General features: G+C 42.2%; 1 protein-coding gene and 1 pseudogene across 11 annotated transcripts in view; both read left to right on the top strand.

Annotated features, from left to right (window-relative positions):
* SFMBT2 (Scm like with four mbt domains 2) overlaps positions 1 to 18,737 on the top strand; it is a 252,867-nt gene that overhangs the window by 115,882 nt on the left and 118,248 nt on the right. For 6 of the 11 annotated variants that reach the window (NM_001029880.3, NM_001387889.1, NM_001018039.1 and 3 more), the window contains exons 5-7: positions 9,655 to 9,743; positions 11,459 to 11,705; positions 18,620 to 18,717. In NM_001029880.3, coding sequence (NP_001025051.1) covers positions 9,655 to 9,743; positions 11,459 to 11,705; positions 18,620 to 18,717 — 434 coding nt within the window. Of the gene's footprint in view, positions 1 to 5,011; positions 5,034 to 9,654; positions 9,824 to 11,458; positions 11,706 to 18,619; positions 18,718 to 18,737 lie in introns of those variants that run through there. The other 5 variants (NM_001387890.1, XM_047425570.1, XM_047425569.1 and 2 more) reach the window with 4 other exon arrangements.
* COX6CP17 (cytochrome c oxidase subunit 6C pseudogene 17) lies at positions 336 to 632 on the top strand (annotated as a pseudogene).

The following is an 18,737-nucleotide window of genomic DNA, read 5'->3' as shown; positions in this document are numbered from 1 at the left end:
TTGTGAATGCTTGTGGTGTGCTGTTAGTTGTATTTTAGTGAAAGGTCTGTGCAATGAATATTATGGTAACAGTCGCTCTTAATCTGAATTCAGCAAGTTGTATGTCATCAAAAGATTAGTGAAACAGACACAATTCCTAAAGCCGTCTAAGTCTGCCAGTCTTTCCTTCCTGTGACACAAGTTCGTCTGTGGCCTACAAGTTGTTGGAGGTGTAACCTATTATTTGTTGGCCAGTTGTTGGAGGTGTTGGGTGTGTGGTTTTGGACACAGTGGGCATGGGTGGTCCCAGTCTCCTGGAGTGGACAGCCAGACGAATACCGTAGACACAGGAACACAAACATGTTGGAGCGTTCGTCGTATTTCTGGGGGTTGCAGCTTTGTCTCAGTTTGCTGTGGCTGAACCAAGGAAAAAGGCAGATGCAGACTTCTACAAGAATTATAATTCTATGGAAGATTTTGAGGAGATGAGGAAGGCTAGCATCTTTCAGGATGCAATGTAATTTTGGAATATAAGGAATTTATTTGGGTTGAATTACCTAGAAGTTTGTCACTGACCTGTGTTTCTGAACCATGAAGCATAGATATGTGGGCTAACAAATAGTTTCTCTTGATAAATAAACTGTTAACAAGTATATATAAAAAAGAGTCTATAGAGAAATGTATACAGGGGATGTGAATAGGGAGTTCCCAGAAGGGAAACCTGAATTGTCATAGTGTAATGATACTAAACAGCACTGATGATGAGTAAAACAAAAAAGCAAAGGAAAAAGACAGTTTCATATGCTTCAGATTAGTGAAAATTTAAGAAGTCTGATTATATAAAATGCTCCCAAGGACGGAGAGCACTGGGGATGATGAGGTTGTAAGAATGACTTTGGAGAGCAGTTTGCCAATAACTAGGAAGTCCTTTGCTGTTCTGCACCTAGGAATTAATTTTAGAGTAACAATATTACAAAAATTAACCATCAGAATTAATTTTAGAGTAACAGTGTTACAAAAATTAACCATCAGAATTAATTTTATAGTAACAGTGTTAGAAAAATTAGGAGTCTCATGTCAGATTTCACCTCACTTGTCCTATCAGCAGCATTTGACAAGATTGATTATTCCTTCCTTCTTGAAATATTTGTATTACTTGGAAATAGATGTAGCTGGGCACATGGCTGTCCAGATAGAGTCTAGATACTTGTACAATGCAAGGTGGGTTCTGCCCAGTCCTACTGTTACATGCTAGGGTCAGAGATAAATTCTACAACATCATATATTACAGGTTTAGGATGAGGTTTCACTGGAGGAAGGTGAGATGTACATGGACCAAGGGTTTACGTCTCATCCTTTTATCCCATACAGATGCACTGGGTGAGTTGGCGTGCTTTTTATTGGAAGGATCCTTCCATTTTGTGGGTTTCCTTTCTTGTAAGCATAGAAAACAGCCATGATATTAGGGGATAAGCAGTAATTACAGTACCTTCCCCCACCCTAGCAGTGGGGAAGTACATATTTCATGGGGAACCTGAATGAATGTGGGTTCAGTACCTCCAGCTGGGCTCTGTCCTAGCTCACTGCTCCAGAGGACTCCTGGGGTCCCTTTGGGACGTACCTCCTATTGTACTATGAGATGTGGCCATGTCCAGCGAGGAAGTGATGTCTGTGATATACATCACTGATACACATCAGCGTAACTGATGAGATGGAAATTGTTCATCTTTGCTTACGTTCTTTCCCTCTTTCCATGGGCTGGGATGTGCTGAACCATCTGTTTCCCTGCCCTCACTTAGAGCAGAGTGACAGGATTGAAAGACCCTGGGTTCCTAACATATCTTGGGAAGCAGAGCTCTGTGTCACCCTATATCACCTGCCTTGGATGAGAGAGAGAGAGAGGGAGAGAAAGAGAGAGAGAGAAAGAGAAAGAGAGAGGAACTTTGACTGTGCTTGCACCTCTGTGGCTGTGTTTTTGGGTCTCTTTATTATGCAGTCTAGCTGTGATGCAGTATCTCATAGTCATCTTAATGATCTTAACGACTATGAGGGCCAGTGGAGCTTGCCCTTGGTATTTGCATCCCTTGAATCTGCCTCATCTCAGTAAAGGGCAACTCCATTCTTCAAGTGCTTGGGCCAGAAAGCCTCAGGGACATTTCTGTGTTCTACTTCTCTTGTAGCCCATCAGCGAATCCCATTAGCTTTACCTTCACATTAAAAAAAAATACTTTGACCAGGCACAGTGGCTCACACTTGTAATCCCAGCACTTTGGGAGGCCGAGGCAGGCAGATCACCTGAAGTCAGGAGTTCAAGACCAGCCTGGCCAACATGGTGAAACCCGGTGTCTTCTAAAAATACAAAAATTAGCTGGATGTGGTAGGGCGTGCCTGTAGTCCCAGCTACTCGGGAAGCTGAGGCTGGAGATGGTGGTGGGTGCCTGTAATCCCAGCTGCTTGGGAGGCTGAGGTAGGAGAATCGCTTGAACCCAGGAGGTGGAGGTTGCAGTGAGTCGAGATCGCGCCACTGCATTCCAGACAGAGTGAGACTCCTTTCACCCTAATGTCATCACTGTGATAGGGCTGTGTCATTTGCTTCCAACAATTCTTAGATAATGTCTTTGTTAAATCCTATTCTTTTTTTTTGAGACGGAGCCTTGCTCTGTCACCCAGCCTGGAGTACAGTGGCACGATCTCGGCTCACTGCATCCTTCCAGGTTCAAGCAATTCTCCTGCCTCAGCCTTCCTAGTAGCTGGTACTACAGGCACCTGCCACCATGCCCGGCTAATTTTTCTATTTTTAGTAGAGACGGGTCTTGAACTCCTGGCCTTAGGTGATCCGCCCGCCTCAGCCTCCTAAAGTGCTGGGATTACAGGCATGAGCCATCGCACCCCACCTAAATCTTATTCTTTACAACAAAATGATACTATTTCTTTTCTTAATCATAGAAGTGTATTTTTACAACTGAAAGAGTCTTTGAAAGGTTGAAATGAAACTTGTCCTCCAACAATCTTTATATGACAGGTACTAAGGGATGTGTGTGTGTGTAAGTGTAATTTTTCTGACATTCTTTACAAGTTATATCTTCATCTGGGTTACATTCATTATTAAAGACAGCAATACTTTTATCTATGTGTTTGAACCTCAGTAGTAGGTAGCACTAGGAACTTGTCAATCCTGTTGAATCATTTTATGATCTATCTTTTTGTTTGTAGGAACAATCTAATTTGAACCTTATATGAAAAATTAATGTAGGTTCTCCTTTACAAATCTCCAAGGGAAAGAACTCTGTCATCTTTTTTTCTTAATAGTAAGAGCAGGTGCTTCCATTTATCATTCAAGGTGTACTGTTGCCTCCTTTTTTCTTTAGCAAAGTCAGTGTTAAAAAAGGCTTCCCCTGAGAAGTCAAAGGCTGCTACCTGACATCTGGTTGAGAAGGCTCGGTTCTCTTGTGAGCTGGGAGGAGTTTCAGTGGATTAAGCACTCTTATTTACCTCTTTTTCCTCCAGAGACCCCATTAAAATGGTAGGGAAAAATAAAAAGTACATATATCAACAACACAAAGAACTTAAAGGCCACCAGCATGGAAAAGGGATTTTACAATGTTTCTGGCAGCCTGCAAGCTGATAAGGCTATGTGACTACTAAATTAGTGTGGGGGCTGCAGCTGGGGAGGCTCACCTTGGAGACTGAATGCTGGGTGGGTAGGAGTCCCACGTGGGGCTGAAAATCACAGGGTTCCATGGGATGCCTATAGTCAGATCACTTCACGGATTCTCTCCTTCTTCCACCCCTGCCGTGGGTACAACCAAGGACTAGAAACCATATATTTATCCCTCTGCCTCATCTCTGAAGAAATGGACTGAATTGTCTGGGGAGAACCCCTGTTGCTAGTTTGGAAGGCGGCTTCTTAGAAGGGGAATTACTCCCATGCCCACTCTCTGAGTCAGACCCGTCTGCCCAGGACACCAGCCTCTCCAAGGTTTCTGTTGTTTCATATTTAAGTATGATGCATGAGCATTGTTGGCCAGATATTCCAGGAAAGCTTCTGATCAAAGAGGGCAGGATGAGATGAAGAAACAACAAAACAGCCCCCAGGAATCAGAGAGGACCCGGGGAATAGGGGAGGAGAACCCTATTCCGTAATGAGAGGTTTTGAAAAGGTCATCTTGTTAAAGAAAACGTTTTAGAAGGAAGGAACTACCAAAAGCAAGAAAGAAACATTGCAAACGAAAACTGTGACCCATGGAATGAATTCAAAGAAGCATTGATTGGAAGTAAGTTCAGAAAATTGCCCAGAAAGACAACAAAAAATGAAATACCCTGTGTGTTTAAATGCTAGCACATAGGGATGGGACTCAAACTCCCTTCCTGTGGGCTAGAGTGTGAGTGAAAATGGCCTTTCTCTTCATTGTAATTACTCTCCCCATCTCTCAGAGAATGGGTAGGCCTGGGGCAGCTGGTCTCAGCAGACCTGTCTGTTCTCCTGTGATGTGGGAAGGCATTGAGGAGCCTAGGCTGACAGTGCTTGTCCTCCTGACCCCAGCATGGGTCTCCTTGTTCATCATCTGCCTGCATGGGCAGCCCTGACCAAGGGCTTTATACTCACAGCCCGGTCTACACAGGTCACGTCCCTGAGAGGTGACCCGGCTTTGGACTCTATGTGGATGTGCACTTGATGGGGCTTGAAATCCAACATTAGTGGTATTTTCCCAAATTCTGAAAAAGTGATGCTAATCTTCTGCCTTTATATGGGACTCAATTTGTAGATAGCTTGCTTTCTTTTTCTTTTTTTACAGACATGGTCTTACTCTGTTACCCAGGCTGGAGTGTAGTGGTGTGATCATAGCCCACTGCAGCTTCGAACTCCTGGGCTCACACCATTCTCCTGCCTCAGCCTCCCAAGCAGCTGGGACTACAGCCACCCACTACCATGCCCAGCTAAGTTAAAAAAAAAATTGTAGAGATGGGGTCTTGCTGTGTTACCCAGGATGGTCTTGAACTTCTGGCCTCAAGAGATCCTCCTGCCTCAGCCTCCCAAAGTGTTGGGATTACAGGTGTGAGCCACCATGTCCAGCTCGGCAGCTTTATAATCCTAATAAAGCATTTGTGGGATTTGGGTCCATCTTTAAATGTCCTCAAGAAGCATATGTGTGTGTAACTCAAACTCAGAACTTGAGTTCTGAAACCCAAGTTCATGATTCCTTCCTTCACTGTGATGTGGGCACTTCTCCAAAGTGAGGTATTAGTGGAATGGAACTTGGATTTTTAAAAGGTGTAGTGGAATGCTTATATAATATTATAACTAAGTAAAACCTTGAAAAAATGTTCATGAGAATGTGGTAGAAGTTTCTTTCTTTTTTTTTTTTTTGTTTCTTATGACTTTCTAGGAGTTTGCCTTAATGAGTTGAAAGCATGAGCGATGATTACCAAGTTGTGTGTAAACCTTCCTCCACCTGAAATTGCAGAGTGTTTTTCTCCCTGATCATTTCTTTCCTGTCGTAGCGTTCATCTTTGATGCCGTAGTTGGGCGCAGGGCAGGTTTTGAGTTTCCTGATGTTTCATGTGTGGATTGGTCCTTCAATTTGAAGAATAAGATAATGATCATAGACAAGGATTTGGCTTACAGCTGAGAGTGCTGAGTTGGAGTCTTGGAAGAGAGACGTGCTGCAGAATAAAGTTTATAGTTTTAAAATTTCTAGTTAGAAGTTTAAATGGTCACACTGAGCAATGCCAATTAGCTTCCATTGCAGTGAATTCTAAGGACTTGCAAGGCAACTTTTATTTACCAGAATTTAACTGAATTAATCAGTGGTTAAGGTAACTCCATGGTCTAGGAATTGTAAATTGGTTATACTTAGTTTTTATTTTATAGCAATATTTATTGTAATAGGTTTATGGTACATTTGAATATTAGAGCTTTGAGAGCTAAATGTTAACTGATATAGTTTTTCTTATAAAATTAGCAAGATTCTTGAGAACGTTTCTTTTCTACTTTTTAACCTAAAGTGGTCTGTATACGTTTATGGCTTTATAGATACGTCTACCATGGAGAGCAATTCATTTAGGTAGTCTGTGGCTCATAAAAGATTGCTTGAGTCTTGTGCAGACACATATAAAGGAAAGCTATAGGACCTCTGGGAACTTGAGGCTCGCAAGATGTAAATGTCAGAGCCGTCCCTAGAGCTCCCTTGCTATGACTTTGACCGTTTAAATTTCAGCATTGTGCAGTGACTTCATAGGGTGCTTGCATATTTTAAAAATTTTCACTTAACTGTTAACTTGGATTATACGCATGTTAGAAACAACCCTGTGGAAAATAGAGCTTTCTTCCCGTAGTGGATATAGACGTCTGTGTTAGGCACAGGACCATTTATCGCTGGATTATAATAATTGTTCTTCTTTTGTAATGGGATAGGAAATGCATATTTATGGGGTACAGTTGTATATTTTGTCCTAATCTTGAAACTTATGTGAGTCATTTTCATATTATCTCCATCATGCCTGCATTTTAAATTACTGATTTATCTGTTTGCAAAAGCTTTGGAGAATCAGAGAATCTACTGGAAAGACTCCATGTGAGATTGGGCTCTGAACACCTGGGGGCTTGAGGCTGTTTCTAGTTTTTTTTTTTTTTTCTGAGACAGTGTCTCGCTCTGTCGCCCAGGCTAGAGTGCAGTGGCACGATTTCGGCTCAGCCTCCCGAGTAGCTGGGATCACAGATAGCTGCCACCACACCTGGCTCATTTTTCTATTTCTAGTGGAGATGGGGGGGGGGGTTTCACCATATTGGCCAGGCTGATCTTGAACTCCTGACCTTGTGATCCACCCGCCTTGGCCTCCCAAAGTGCTGGGATTGCAGGTGTGAGCCACCGCACCTGGCCGCTGTTTCTAATTTTTTTCCGTGAACTTGGTCAAGAGTTAATGACGAAGAAGCACCTGTTAGCATAGTTAGGAGGAACAAAACAGGGTGAATGAAAGGTCTTTGTAAAGCATAAAATGAGTCCAGATTTTAGTTCATTTGGCTTGTATATCTTGTTTTCGTCTCAGTGACCCTAGACATGCAAGAGGGCCACTTTTAAAAAGGGTGTAGCCTTTGAAGAATGATGACTACATCTATAACGAAGGAAGAGAACACAAGAACACAGTTTTATGCTCAGCCTCCCAACGTGCTGAGCGTACAATATTTTTGTGTTTGTATTTCCATGTGAGTATGTATAAAATAAGGAAGGTGACATTTTGTTTGAGAAAAAATCTAGTGATAAAAGTGGACAAACAGATGAGTTATTCTTTATTATAAGCGGGGTGAGGCTGGGACGTTGCCATATAAGGTAAAGCTGGACTCGGCCTTGTTTGCCTGAGTTCCGTGCATGTTGGTTTTGCTCTTGGTGTGATGATCATCCTTGTGCGTGGGCGGATGTTGACTGAGAGGCACGTTAGTGATGAAGCAGCAGGTCCGGCCACTGCTTGGCTTGTATCTTGGTCTCCATTCTACTGGCTGTTCTGTGAAAGCTCATTGGAAGTTTCAATCTAGAAGTCATGGGTATGAATAATCAATAACCAGCAGATTAAAAAGATATATGTAATAATTTAGTATGTTTATAATAAAACAAGAGCTAATATTAATTGGTTGGTGTGTACCTGGGTTGGTTATATTTTATTTGCATATGTCTGTCCTTTAGTCCTTAGAACACCCCTTATAAGCAAAATATCATTAGCAACCTGGCACCCTTTGATTGGCTAGAAAAGAGTCTAAGAGAAATTGAGTAAATTATTCAAAGTCATGCATCCAGTGATGGTGGATCCCCCGTTGGGGCCCAGATCTGCCCCACACCCTTATGGCCAACTTCCCTTTTGTAGTAATTCCACTGCTTTAGGTTTGAGCCGGAAGGGTTGCATCAAGCCTTTGAAGAACCTAAACAATGCACAAACTACTTGGGTCTTGGACCTTAAATGGGGGCTGAGTGAAGTCCTGGGTGGAGCCCGGGCTGCCCACGTGGAGGGCTGGCTGTGATGGGTGGTTCATCTGGGGCTAGGGTCTTGCTGTCATTTATGCTGACTTTGCACATCCATCTCTTGGTGCCCTGGGAAGGCTCAGGTCCCTCAGGGATGCAGGTGTAGCCCAGTGGGGCCTTTGAAGATCTGTAGCTTGGGAGACATGCCAAAGAGATATGCTTTCCTCAGGTCTTGGGTTCTAAGCACTTGTAGAATGTTGCCCTCCACAGTCTGATACTTCTTTTTCAAAAGATGCCTTGGCCGGGTGCGGTGGCTCACGCCTGTAATCCCAGCACTTTGGGAGGCCGAGGCGGGTGGATCACGAGGTCAGGAGATCGAGACCATCTTGGCTAACACGGTGAAACCCCGTCTCTACTAAAAATACAAAAAATTAGCCGGGCATGGTGGCGGGTGCCTGTAGTCCCAGCTACTCGGGAGGCTGAGGCAGGAGAATGGCGTGAACCTGGGAGGCGGAGCTTGCAGTGAGCTGAGATCCGCCACTGCCTCCAGCCTGGGTGAAAGAGCGAGACTCTGTCTCAAAAAAAAAAAAAAAAAAAAAAGATGCCTCAAATACATTCCTTCCTTGTTCAGAGGGCTGTCACCCCTATTTTGAGTCCTATCACTTTTCTACTTGGATAACTGAAACAGCCTCAGTTTCCCTGCTTTTAGACTCTTTTCTTTCCATTCAAACCCTTATACTGTTGCCAGATTCATTTTATACAGAGATGTCCCATTTGTTAAGCGTCTATGTTGACTTCCTGGGTGTCCATAGTTTATTCCTACCACTCAGTATTATTTCCCAGTGCTGTGCGCTTGGAGTGTGCCCTAGTGTGACCATTTGCAGTGCAGTCGTCCCTTGAGATCTGTTGGGGGATTGGCTCCAGGACCCCCAAGGATACCAAAATTTGCAGATGATCAAGTCTCGAACAGAAAATAGTATAGTTCACACATAACCTATGTACATCTTTCTGCAGACCTTAAATCATCTCTGGATTACTTATAGTACCTACTACAATGTAGATACTATGTAAATAGTTGTTACATTGGAGTTTTTAGGGAATAATAAGAAAAAAAAGTGTACATGTTCAGTAAAGATGCATTTTATTTCATATATTTTTGATGCTCAGTTGAATTGAACCCAGGGATGGGGAACCCATGGATATGGAGGGGACTACTTATTCTCCCCATTTCTCTATTTCTCCATTTCACCTTCAGTCCACCCCTCTTGTTATTTTGTGCCCATTTCTCTGCAAATTCCTTCTTCTTCTGAAACTGTATAAACTGTTCATGTAATTCGGGGCCTGGTTTGATTTTCCCACCTGGAAAGCCTTTCTCTGATTTCCCTAGCCTCACTGGTTTCTCTCTCCTTGGAACCTCCTGAATTGTACACTTTATAATTTCTTTGTGGTTTGTGAAAAGTTTCTAAATAGGCTGTAAGACTTCGGATTCTTTCATCTCCTTGGTGCCCAAGCATGTGGTATGTGTCAAGTTGCTACTTAGAGACACATTTTCAGTCTCAGTTTTAGTATTTACTTAAGCATGGTGATGAAAGTTAAGAAAAACATTGAAATCAAACCTACATGGAGAAAACTGCTGTGATTTTAAGTTGATTGGATACTTTGCTGCTGTGTTGAAGTGTTTTTTTTGTTTTGTTTTGTTTTTCTTTCTCCTTTGTCTTGCCAGCAATCAAAGAGAAGTACACAGACTGGACAGAATTTCTCATACGTGACTTGACTGGTTCGAGGACAGCACCCGCCAACCTCCTGGAAGGTGTATGTATTGTTGTTATACATCTAATGTATCTCTGAAGCACCCCAGTTACGTGAGCTCAGACCTGACAGCACCTTTGCATATATCCTTCAGCAGATGCGTGCTTTCTGCAGACACTGCCATCCAAATAGCCTCCCTTCCTCTTTTGTCCTGAATTACTTAGGTGACTGATTTGAATGGCATTGATGAAACTTCCCCTGTGATGCAATCAGCAAATGGAAAATTTGCTCTATGTGAATCCAATTTTTAAATCACAATATGCTAGGATGTCTTCCTACTGTCCTATATCTTTAAGCCTCTTTCCTATGTGAGTGAATATAAATCAAATCCTGTAGAATCACTGTTTTGAACAGGTGACAAGATCATGTATGTGCTAATATAGTCTCTTGGAGTACATTGATAAGTCGTTCCATTAAATGTTCTATTTTGACGCATAACCCCAAGATTTGAACATACACACGTTAACCAATAATTGAATTAACTTCTCTTGTAAAAACAAGAGGAGAAATGGCAGATCGTATTTCAGTGTAGCCAAGGAAATTTTAATGTATTGAAGAAAACATAGTTTAATCTGAAATCTTGATGGTTTATTTGAAAATAATTTTATGTTGAAACATCTTAGTATGTATATGTAGTATTTGTATTTGTATAATGGAACAGGAAGAGAAAGGCACTGTGTCATAAGTAATTATTGAATTACCTAGTCTGTTTTTCTTAAGAATGCCCCTAAAAAGGGGAAAACTTAATGAATAACAAGTAATAAGGTGTGGATTTTGACAGTATCATATTCTCTTAACCTTAAACTTTCCCTCTTTTCATAAATGATATTGACATTTTAGAACGTCATAGTCTAATATAGTTAACGGGTTTTGTTTTGTGAAGATTTTGCCTGATGTATTTGTTATATATCATTAGAGATACTATTTTAATTGTTCATTAACAAATCAAAATGATGATAGTTCATCCTTTCAAAAGGACAAATTGTCTCACTATGTTAATTTTCTAAAACATATTTGCCTACAAAGCTGGCTGAACAAACACCCTTTTCATATGCTATCATAGGCTAAGAAGGTTTCTTAGAAGGGGCAGTAATTATACATTCTGTAAACCAATTACCAGCTTAAGTGTAGAAATAATTTTACATAGTAGTCTAATTTAGCTGATCATTACTGTGTGTTAGACATGTCATTGACACACACTCATGCCTTCGTCACATAATCAAAGTATGAGAGCATTTTGGTCATTAGAGTAGCGGCCAGTAGAGTAAGATGAATGTCTGGGAAACCGTCATGGTGTAAATTGAATGCTCTGTATTAGAATTATCTGTCTGTTGGAAAAGTAGACCGTTTGCTACCACGTTTTCTAGGTCCAGGCAAATTTGGGTAGAACTCTTCTTAAAAGCATACTGATTGTTAACAAAAGCAATTTTATCTGGGAAGGGTGATTTGTTTGGTGAGAACTTAGCACAAACTGTTATTTTCTATTGACTTGTGATTTTTTTGTTGTTGGATACGGAATGGGGTACATGGATGTGTGGGAGGGAGGAAAGGGAAGGGGTGGGGCATGGGCTGGGCAAGGATGGGGTGGAGGGAACGCCAGACTGTTCGCCAGTACCTTGGATGATGGTGTGAAAAAATATTATCTTCTGCTGTCATCTGTTTCCATGAGAACCTTAAAATAAAGTTTAAAATAAGGAGTTTTGCTTCTGTTTAAACAGCCTCTGCGAGGGAAAGGCCCTATAGACCTCATTACAGTTGGTTCCTTAATAGAACTTCAGGATTCCCAGAACCCTTTTCAGTACTGGATAGTTAGTGTGATTGAAAATGTTGGAGGAAGATTACGCCTTCGCTATGTGGGATTGGAGGACACTGAATCCTATGACCAGTGGTTGTTTTACTTGGATTACAGACTTCGACCAGTTGGTTGGTGTCAAGAGAATAAATACAGAATGGACCCACCTTCAGGTAAGGGCCAAAGCTTTTGCTGCTGTAAAGTATTTTAGAAAAAGATGTGATATTTTCCTGGATGTGTTTCTAGAAAATGTATGAGCTTTCTGGTATCTTTTATATCTGAGTATGTGAATATTAAGCACTTTAACTTCACAATGCTTTCCATAGAGACTAAAACCTAAGACCTCAATCAATAGTGTTCTCAAAGGAGAAAGCAATGTTAGAGGCCTTAGGGAAATTGATCTAGTTCCTTGGGAATCACTGGTTCAGAAAGGAAAGACACAGTAGATTGAGACTTGAGGATATTCTCCACGTTTTTCTTTAGGAATTTTGATAGTCTTGTAAGTAGGTTCCGAAATCTCTGGCCATCTGTGTACCCATCTCTCAGTCTGTCCATTCACCAATCCATCCACCTACTCATCCACCCATCTATCCATTTATCTATTCATCCATCCATTCATCCACCTATCCATCCAGCATTCATCTATTTATCTGACCATCCATTCATCCATCCATCTAAATATCCAAACCACAATCCAGTCTGACCAAGAAGCAGCATTGAGTAGATAGACCATCATGTTTTCTCCTGGCATGTAAGATTTTAGTTAGCTTCAAATGCACTGTCAAATGGCTTTGCAGAGGCTTAATTGGAAAGAATCCTGCCTTATGCTCTCTGTCATACCTACCTAGTTAAAAATCAGCGTATTTACAAAATAACCATTCTTGAATGTTTACTATGTGCCAGGTGATTTTACATCTGGTACATTGTTTGTTTTGATTCTAAAAAAATGCTGCATGTTTGTTGTGAATTTCATTTCACAGTAGAGAAAATTGAGACTGGAGTTCAGCTAGTTGTCCAAGGTCCCCTGTTTTAAGGGACAGGCAGTGCAATTCAGATTCCCAGGTGCTGGGCCCCTCCCACCCCTCTTACCGGCCTCCTCTTACCGGCCTTTGAATGGGAAACCTCAGAACAGAAATACTGGATTCTTGTAGAATTAGAGATGCCAAGGAGGAAGTACGTATTTTTTCAGAAATTGGTGAATCTTCATTCCGGTGAGTTTTGTAGCTGTATTTGGAATAAGGACATGGCTCTTTGCTTTATTAAAATCACCAGAGAATTTCCTCCCATATTAGTTGCCGATGTTAGTGTTGAGTACATGAAGGAGAGGAGTTATATTTATCTTTTCTGTCACTCAGAGGCTCTAATTGAAAACACTTCCTGGTCCTGTGTCCCGTGTGTTTGCATTTGCATTAAGTTTGACAGGCTTAGAGACGCGTAATGTGGTATTTTATTAGTATTATTGCTGTCAAAATGTTGAGAAGCAGCCAACACCTCCATCTCTATCCTGAGTAATTTTTGACTCTGATGACAAACAAAGAGCCTGTCGTGTTGTGAAGAAGGATGTAAGCCCGGGTTTGCCCTGGGATTCATAACCCAGCAGGAAAAATTTACTTTGTGCGTAAAGTTGTGTGTATACATCTCTGCTTAGTATCTAATTGCTTTATAAATTTTAGGAGCAATATCTACTTGCCAGTGTACAAATTTACAGCAAAGCAAAGGATGACTAGTGGCTTCTTATGTTCTCTGTGATGTTTCTTTCCTGGGAAGTTATGGGACTCACGCTCACGAGCAGGAATGGAACATGCCTCCGTGGAAGCTTAGGAAATACTCGCTTATGAGCTGTCTCCCTCTTTAGATAATTTGGGGTCTTTATAATATATGAATAAATTGTGTTTACTTGTCTTAGCATTTTCTGGAAATGAGTTGTTCATTTAACTGAAGACTTCTTGGGGGCCCCTGAAGATTCTGGAACAGGCAGGGCATGATGGCTCACGCCTGAGCTCAGGAGTTGGAGACCAGCTGGGGCAATATGGTGAAACCCTGTCTCTGAAAAAAATAGAAAAAACTGGCTAGGCATGGTGGCATGCACCTGTAGTCCCAGCTACTTAGGGGGCTGAGGTGGGAGGATCGCTTGATCACAGGAGAGGAGGCTGCAGTGAGCCAAGATTGCTCTGCTGCACTCCAGCCTGGGTGACAGAGTGAGACTCTGTGAAAACAAACAAACAAAAAAAAGATTCTGGAAAAGACATTCATCATCAAGAACTTACTTCCCCGATATTTAAATCATCAACAGGAAAGGTTATGTACAGGAAGAAGAAACTAAAAAGTGACAAGACACTCCAAAAGTGTGATTTTGAGTTCCTCAGATCCAGTAGTTTCAAGATGGAAACTGGATTCTGCTACATCATTCAGCAGAACAGCATCCCTGGGAAGAGAGGCTGTACTACCCCTGTTGTACACATGGGGACAGATTCTAGTACTTTGTATTTGTATAAATTGATTTCAAGTCCCACGGTGACTTGTGTGACTTACGTGGTAGCACCACTTCCTTAACTGGAATCTAGGCGAGAATAAAACTTCATACCTGCATAGAAAATACTAGGCCGATTTTCTCGTTTTCCCAAACACTATGAAGGCACTGGAAAGTGTTCTGCTTCCATGACCGATGGGGAGAAGTCCAGTGGGAGGGGGGTGTGCAGGGGAGAAGAGCATACTCCCCACGAGCTCTTCCCTGCTGCCGGGACCATCTGCTCTGCACTCCCACTAACACCACCACCATTGTTAAAAATAATCATCCTTTAGTTTTACTTACTATTTATTTATTTATTTTTGAGACAGGGTCTCACTCTGTCTCCCAGGCTGGAGTGCAGTGGCATGATCTCGGCTCATTGCAGCCTCAACCTCCCAGGTTCAAGTGATCTTCCCATCGCAGCTTCCCAAGTGGCTGGAACTACAGGCATGTGCCACCATCCCTGGCTAATTTTTTAATCTCTTATTTTGTAGAGATGGGATCTCACTATGTTGCTCAGGCTGGGCTTGAACTCCTGAGCTCAGGTGACCTGCCCACCTCAGCCTTCCAAAGTGCTGGGCTTACAGGCATGAACCACTCCACGTGGCCCTTGTTTTACTCTTTAAAGGGTACAGTATTTCTCAACTGTTCAGCAAAATAGAAGAGAAATGGGTCATAGAAAGTAGCTAGGAAGTTAGCCTTCAAAAACCTGGGAAAAGGAACTAGATTTTATACTCTCCACCTCTGAGAAACACAGGGCCATTGAGCCTTTCTCTTTTTGCCCTGAATCAGAGGAAATAGCATTCTGGTGCTTGGGGAAGGAGGAGGGGAAAGAAACCACCTTACCCTGTACCATGGGGATAAGGATATCTTGCTGGGCTGCTGAGTGGTGTAATGTATATCAAGAGATTGGCCTTTTCTAGACATTTAATCTGTGATCAGAGTCTTAAGGTTGTACTTTGATTTTCCAAGGAATGTAAGTACGTCATTGAGGTTAGGGTCGTTTAAGAAGCCCACCTGCTCTCCTATTTCTGGATGTTTAGAAAATAAGATAGACTTTTAGATATTCTTGCAGATGCTAAGGAGATGAAACTTTTTGAGTTTCTTTTTCTTTCTCTATTTCTAGAATTTATTCCCTTGTTTTTTTCCTTCAAAATTATTTTATCACCCCCTCCCCCCATTTTTTTAGTGCTTGTTTTAGATCTTGGAGTCAGGAAGTTTCTGAATCCAACTTAAATACTTTCTGCCTGAACTATTACTTAGTCCAAAAGTGAGTTGGACTACATTAATCTGTTCAAGCTGCCATAACAAAATGCCACAGGCTTTATGGCTTAAACAACAAACATTTACTTCTCAGAGATCTGGAGGCTGGAAGTGTGAGATCAGGGTGCCAGTGTAGTTGAGGTCCCAGGAGGGCTCGCTTCCTGGTTTGCAGACAGCCGCCTTCTGACTGTGTCCTCACATAGTAGATCAAGAGAGAACTCTGGTGTCTCTTATAAGGACACAGATCTCATTTGAGGACCCCACCCTCATAACTCCATCTAACTCTAATCATCTCCCAAAGGCATCCCTTTGGGGTTAGGGCTTCAAGTAAGAATTGTGAGGAGAAACATTTAGTCCATAACACTTTCTCTGACGTTTACTATCTTTTAACAACATAGATTCATCTTTCTTCACTGGATAGGACCTGGAGGAGCAGAAGGACATAGAAGTTTTTTGGAGGGAGGTGGATAAAAGAAGAGTTGTTTCTCTAGGTCTTTGTTTATTGATGATTATGTTATGCATTACTGCTTCCTGTGGCACTTATTAGGAAATGCCCCATCAAACCCTTGCACAAAAGGAGATTGCCTCGTTTTTCTTGTAGGCTTCTAGTTTCAGAGGAATCGGGACATGTTTTAATTGCTCACGACCTTCCCAGAAACAGAAACTGGCATGATTTACTTTATTCAGTTACCTGCAACACGATCATTTTAAGAAAATGGTCGATGTTCTTTGAATGGTACTATTTATTGTCCATTAACTTGCTAGTATAACCAGCATGACTCCATCTCACGGAATGCACATGGGGACTGTTGTTCTCTGCTGGTTGTGTCAGGCTGTCAAAACTGCAGTTGATTTTCACCTTTTCATGAAAGAAGTCTGCCTTGCTGTGGGCTGGGTTCATTCCAGGATTTAACACCATTGGAAAGAAAACAGAGAATCTTCAGGTTGTAGGACAGAGGCAGGACCCACCTGGCACCTGGGCTTCTTGTTACCTTTGTCTCTGGTGTGGAGGAGGAGAGATGGCATCCAGTGGACAGAGGAGTTCATTTTTCAGGGATGACTTGGTTGGTCTGCCTTCCTGGGCCAGCGTGCAGGCAACCCCACTGGGGCCAGAGCATCCTCTCCGTGAGTTCTCATAGCTTGGATCTAACCCTGGTCATGTTGGATTTCCATTCCTCCTGGCCTTAAGTTTTTTTTTTCTTGTTTGTTTGGTTTTTTTTTTTGGAGATGAAGTGCAGTGCAGTGGCACAATCTCAGCTCACTGCAACCTCCGCCTCCAGGGTTCAAGCGATTCTCCTGCCTCAGCCTCCCGAGTAGCTGGTATTACAGACGCCTGCCACCGCACCCAGCTAATTTTTGTTTTTGTTTTGTTTTGTTTTTTTAAATTTTATTAGAAGTGAGGTTTCACCATGTTGGCCTGGCTGGTCTTGAACTCCTGACCTCAAGTGATCCACCCACCTCAGCCTCCCAATGAAGGTGTTTTTTGACCATTCTTATACCTTCTCTTCTGTCTCAGGGCATCCCTCCCCCATTCAGAGACCACCATCAAGGGTCAAGGGTATAACTAGTCCTGATTCCCAAGCAAGGGGCCAAAGGTGTCAGCCAGGTAGATCATGCTTTTCCTTTTTGCACCTGTTGGGTCTTCAAATTCTTTCTTTGGTAATCCCCATTGTTTTCTGTGAGCTGGTCCTTTTCCTACCATGCCCAGGTTGAACTCTCCATCTGCCTGCCCAGCTTGCTGGAAAGGGGCATGTGTTTATGGTCCCTGTCCCATCAGGAGCTCCAGCCTGTTGGCAATTTCTCTCCTGATCCTGCGTTGGCGTCCTCAGGGCTTTGCTCCCCGGGGTCCCCTGAGTGGCCTTCTGTCTCTCCGTGGTTTGGATGCAGTGCCCACGAGCTTGCCTGAGTGCACAGGTATCCCTCTCGCTCTCATGGAGCAGCTTGCAGGGGGCTCTGTGAACTGGTCCCTGTGCCTACTTTTGGGGATCCTGTGATAAGCAGTGTCTTCCTGAGTGCCCCCTTCTCACTGTGGACATCAGAGGCCCCATTCTTTCAGTCTCCACAGAAGTGTGTGTTGAGGCCCATTGAGTGTTCCCAATTACGTTAGCTACTACTAAGAAGAATTTAGAAAGGCCAAACTAGAAGAAAAAAGTTCAGCAGACAGGAAACACTAGAAAGGATTATAGACAATGCACACACGCAGAGGATGTGTGGTTGTGAATTACCCTTTGTGTGTCTTTGTGTAAGTAACAATGACTTCGGGCAGTGCACCGATGGCTTGGCTAGTTCTGGCAGGATCTGATACTTACTGTAATTATGACTGAATAAACTGCGGAAACAGGGGCTTAAAGCTCAAGGTGAGTTCAAAAGCTATGAGGATCAAAATAGATCGCTTCATGCTAAAAAGCAGACATGCAAGAAATTAAAAATACAGTCCCAAAGGTTTACTGTTGCTTTTTAACTGTGCTTAATTTCATATTCATATCCTAAGCGTCTGTCTGAAGTAGCCTGGGTTGATATATTGAAGGCATAAACATATCTACTTCCAGTGAGGGCTTCTGCAAATCCTATTTTGATAAGGTCTTAAATCTGTTGAGATCAGGCCATAAAATTCTCCTGCAGTTTCAGCAATAGGTAAAAACAGTGCTCAACGTTTTTTTTTTTCCTTTTAATTTTGCATTCAGACTGTGTAACCTCCATCTGTAAATCTTGCCCCCCCTCCCACTGCCTGGGGAAAAATATGGGCAACATGTGGTGTGTTAAGCAACATTTCAAGTGTAAATATTAAACTTGGTAAATTTTAATTTACCTTTTAATAATTTTCTGACTTACAGGGACTATTTTTAGCAGATGAGAGCTTAGAGATTTAGTGAAAATATGTTGTCATAACTGCAAATGCCAGACTAGAGTCGTTTGTAGTTTAGAAATGTATCAGATAATAAGTTCCTCATCAGTGGGCATTGCTTTCCTAGGTGATAGGTGGAATTTTGGCCCATGGATGACTGAAGGTTTTTGCTAATGTGATTAATACCATTAAATTACTTACAGAATGCCAACTAAATGCATACAAATGTTCCCTGAAGAAGAGCTCTATTAAGTTTATTCTTCATTTCTGACAGCAGAATCCCAAGTTGCTATTTAATTTCAGAAAGTCCTTTCAGCAGGTGGCTGCTCATGGTGGGTATGGGGTGTGAACACTCACGGTCACTGACCGTGCTGAGGTATCAGGAAAGCCTGGGAATTAGCATGCAGGAAAGAGTCACCCGGCAGAACGTGTTAGTCCTTCAACTCTTCTGTGATTTGCTGTTGATACAGAAATCTATCCTTTGAAGATGGCCTCTGAATGGAAATGTACTCTGGAAAAATCCCTTATTGATGCTGCCAAATTTCCTCTTCCAATGGAAGTGTTTAAGGTAAGATGTTGATTCTTAGC

Source organism: Homo sapiens, chromosome 10, assembly GCF_000001405.40.
Source record: "Homo sapiens chromosome 10, GRCh38.p14 Primary Assembly".
NCBI lineage: Eukaryota > Metazoa > Chordata > Mammalia > Primates > Hominidae > Homo > Homo sapiens.
Note: the sequence above shows the minus strand (reverse complement) of the source record. Positions and strands in the feature narration are given on the sequence as shown.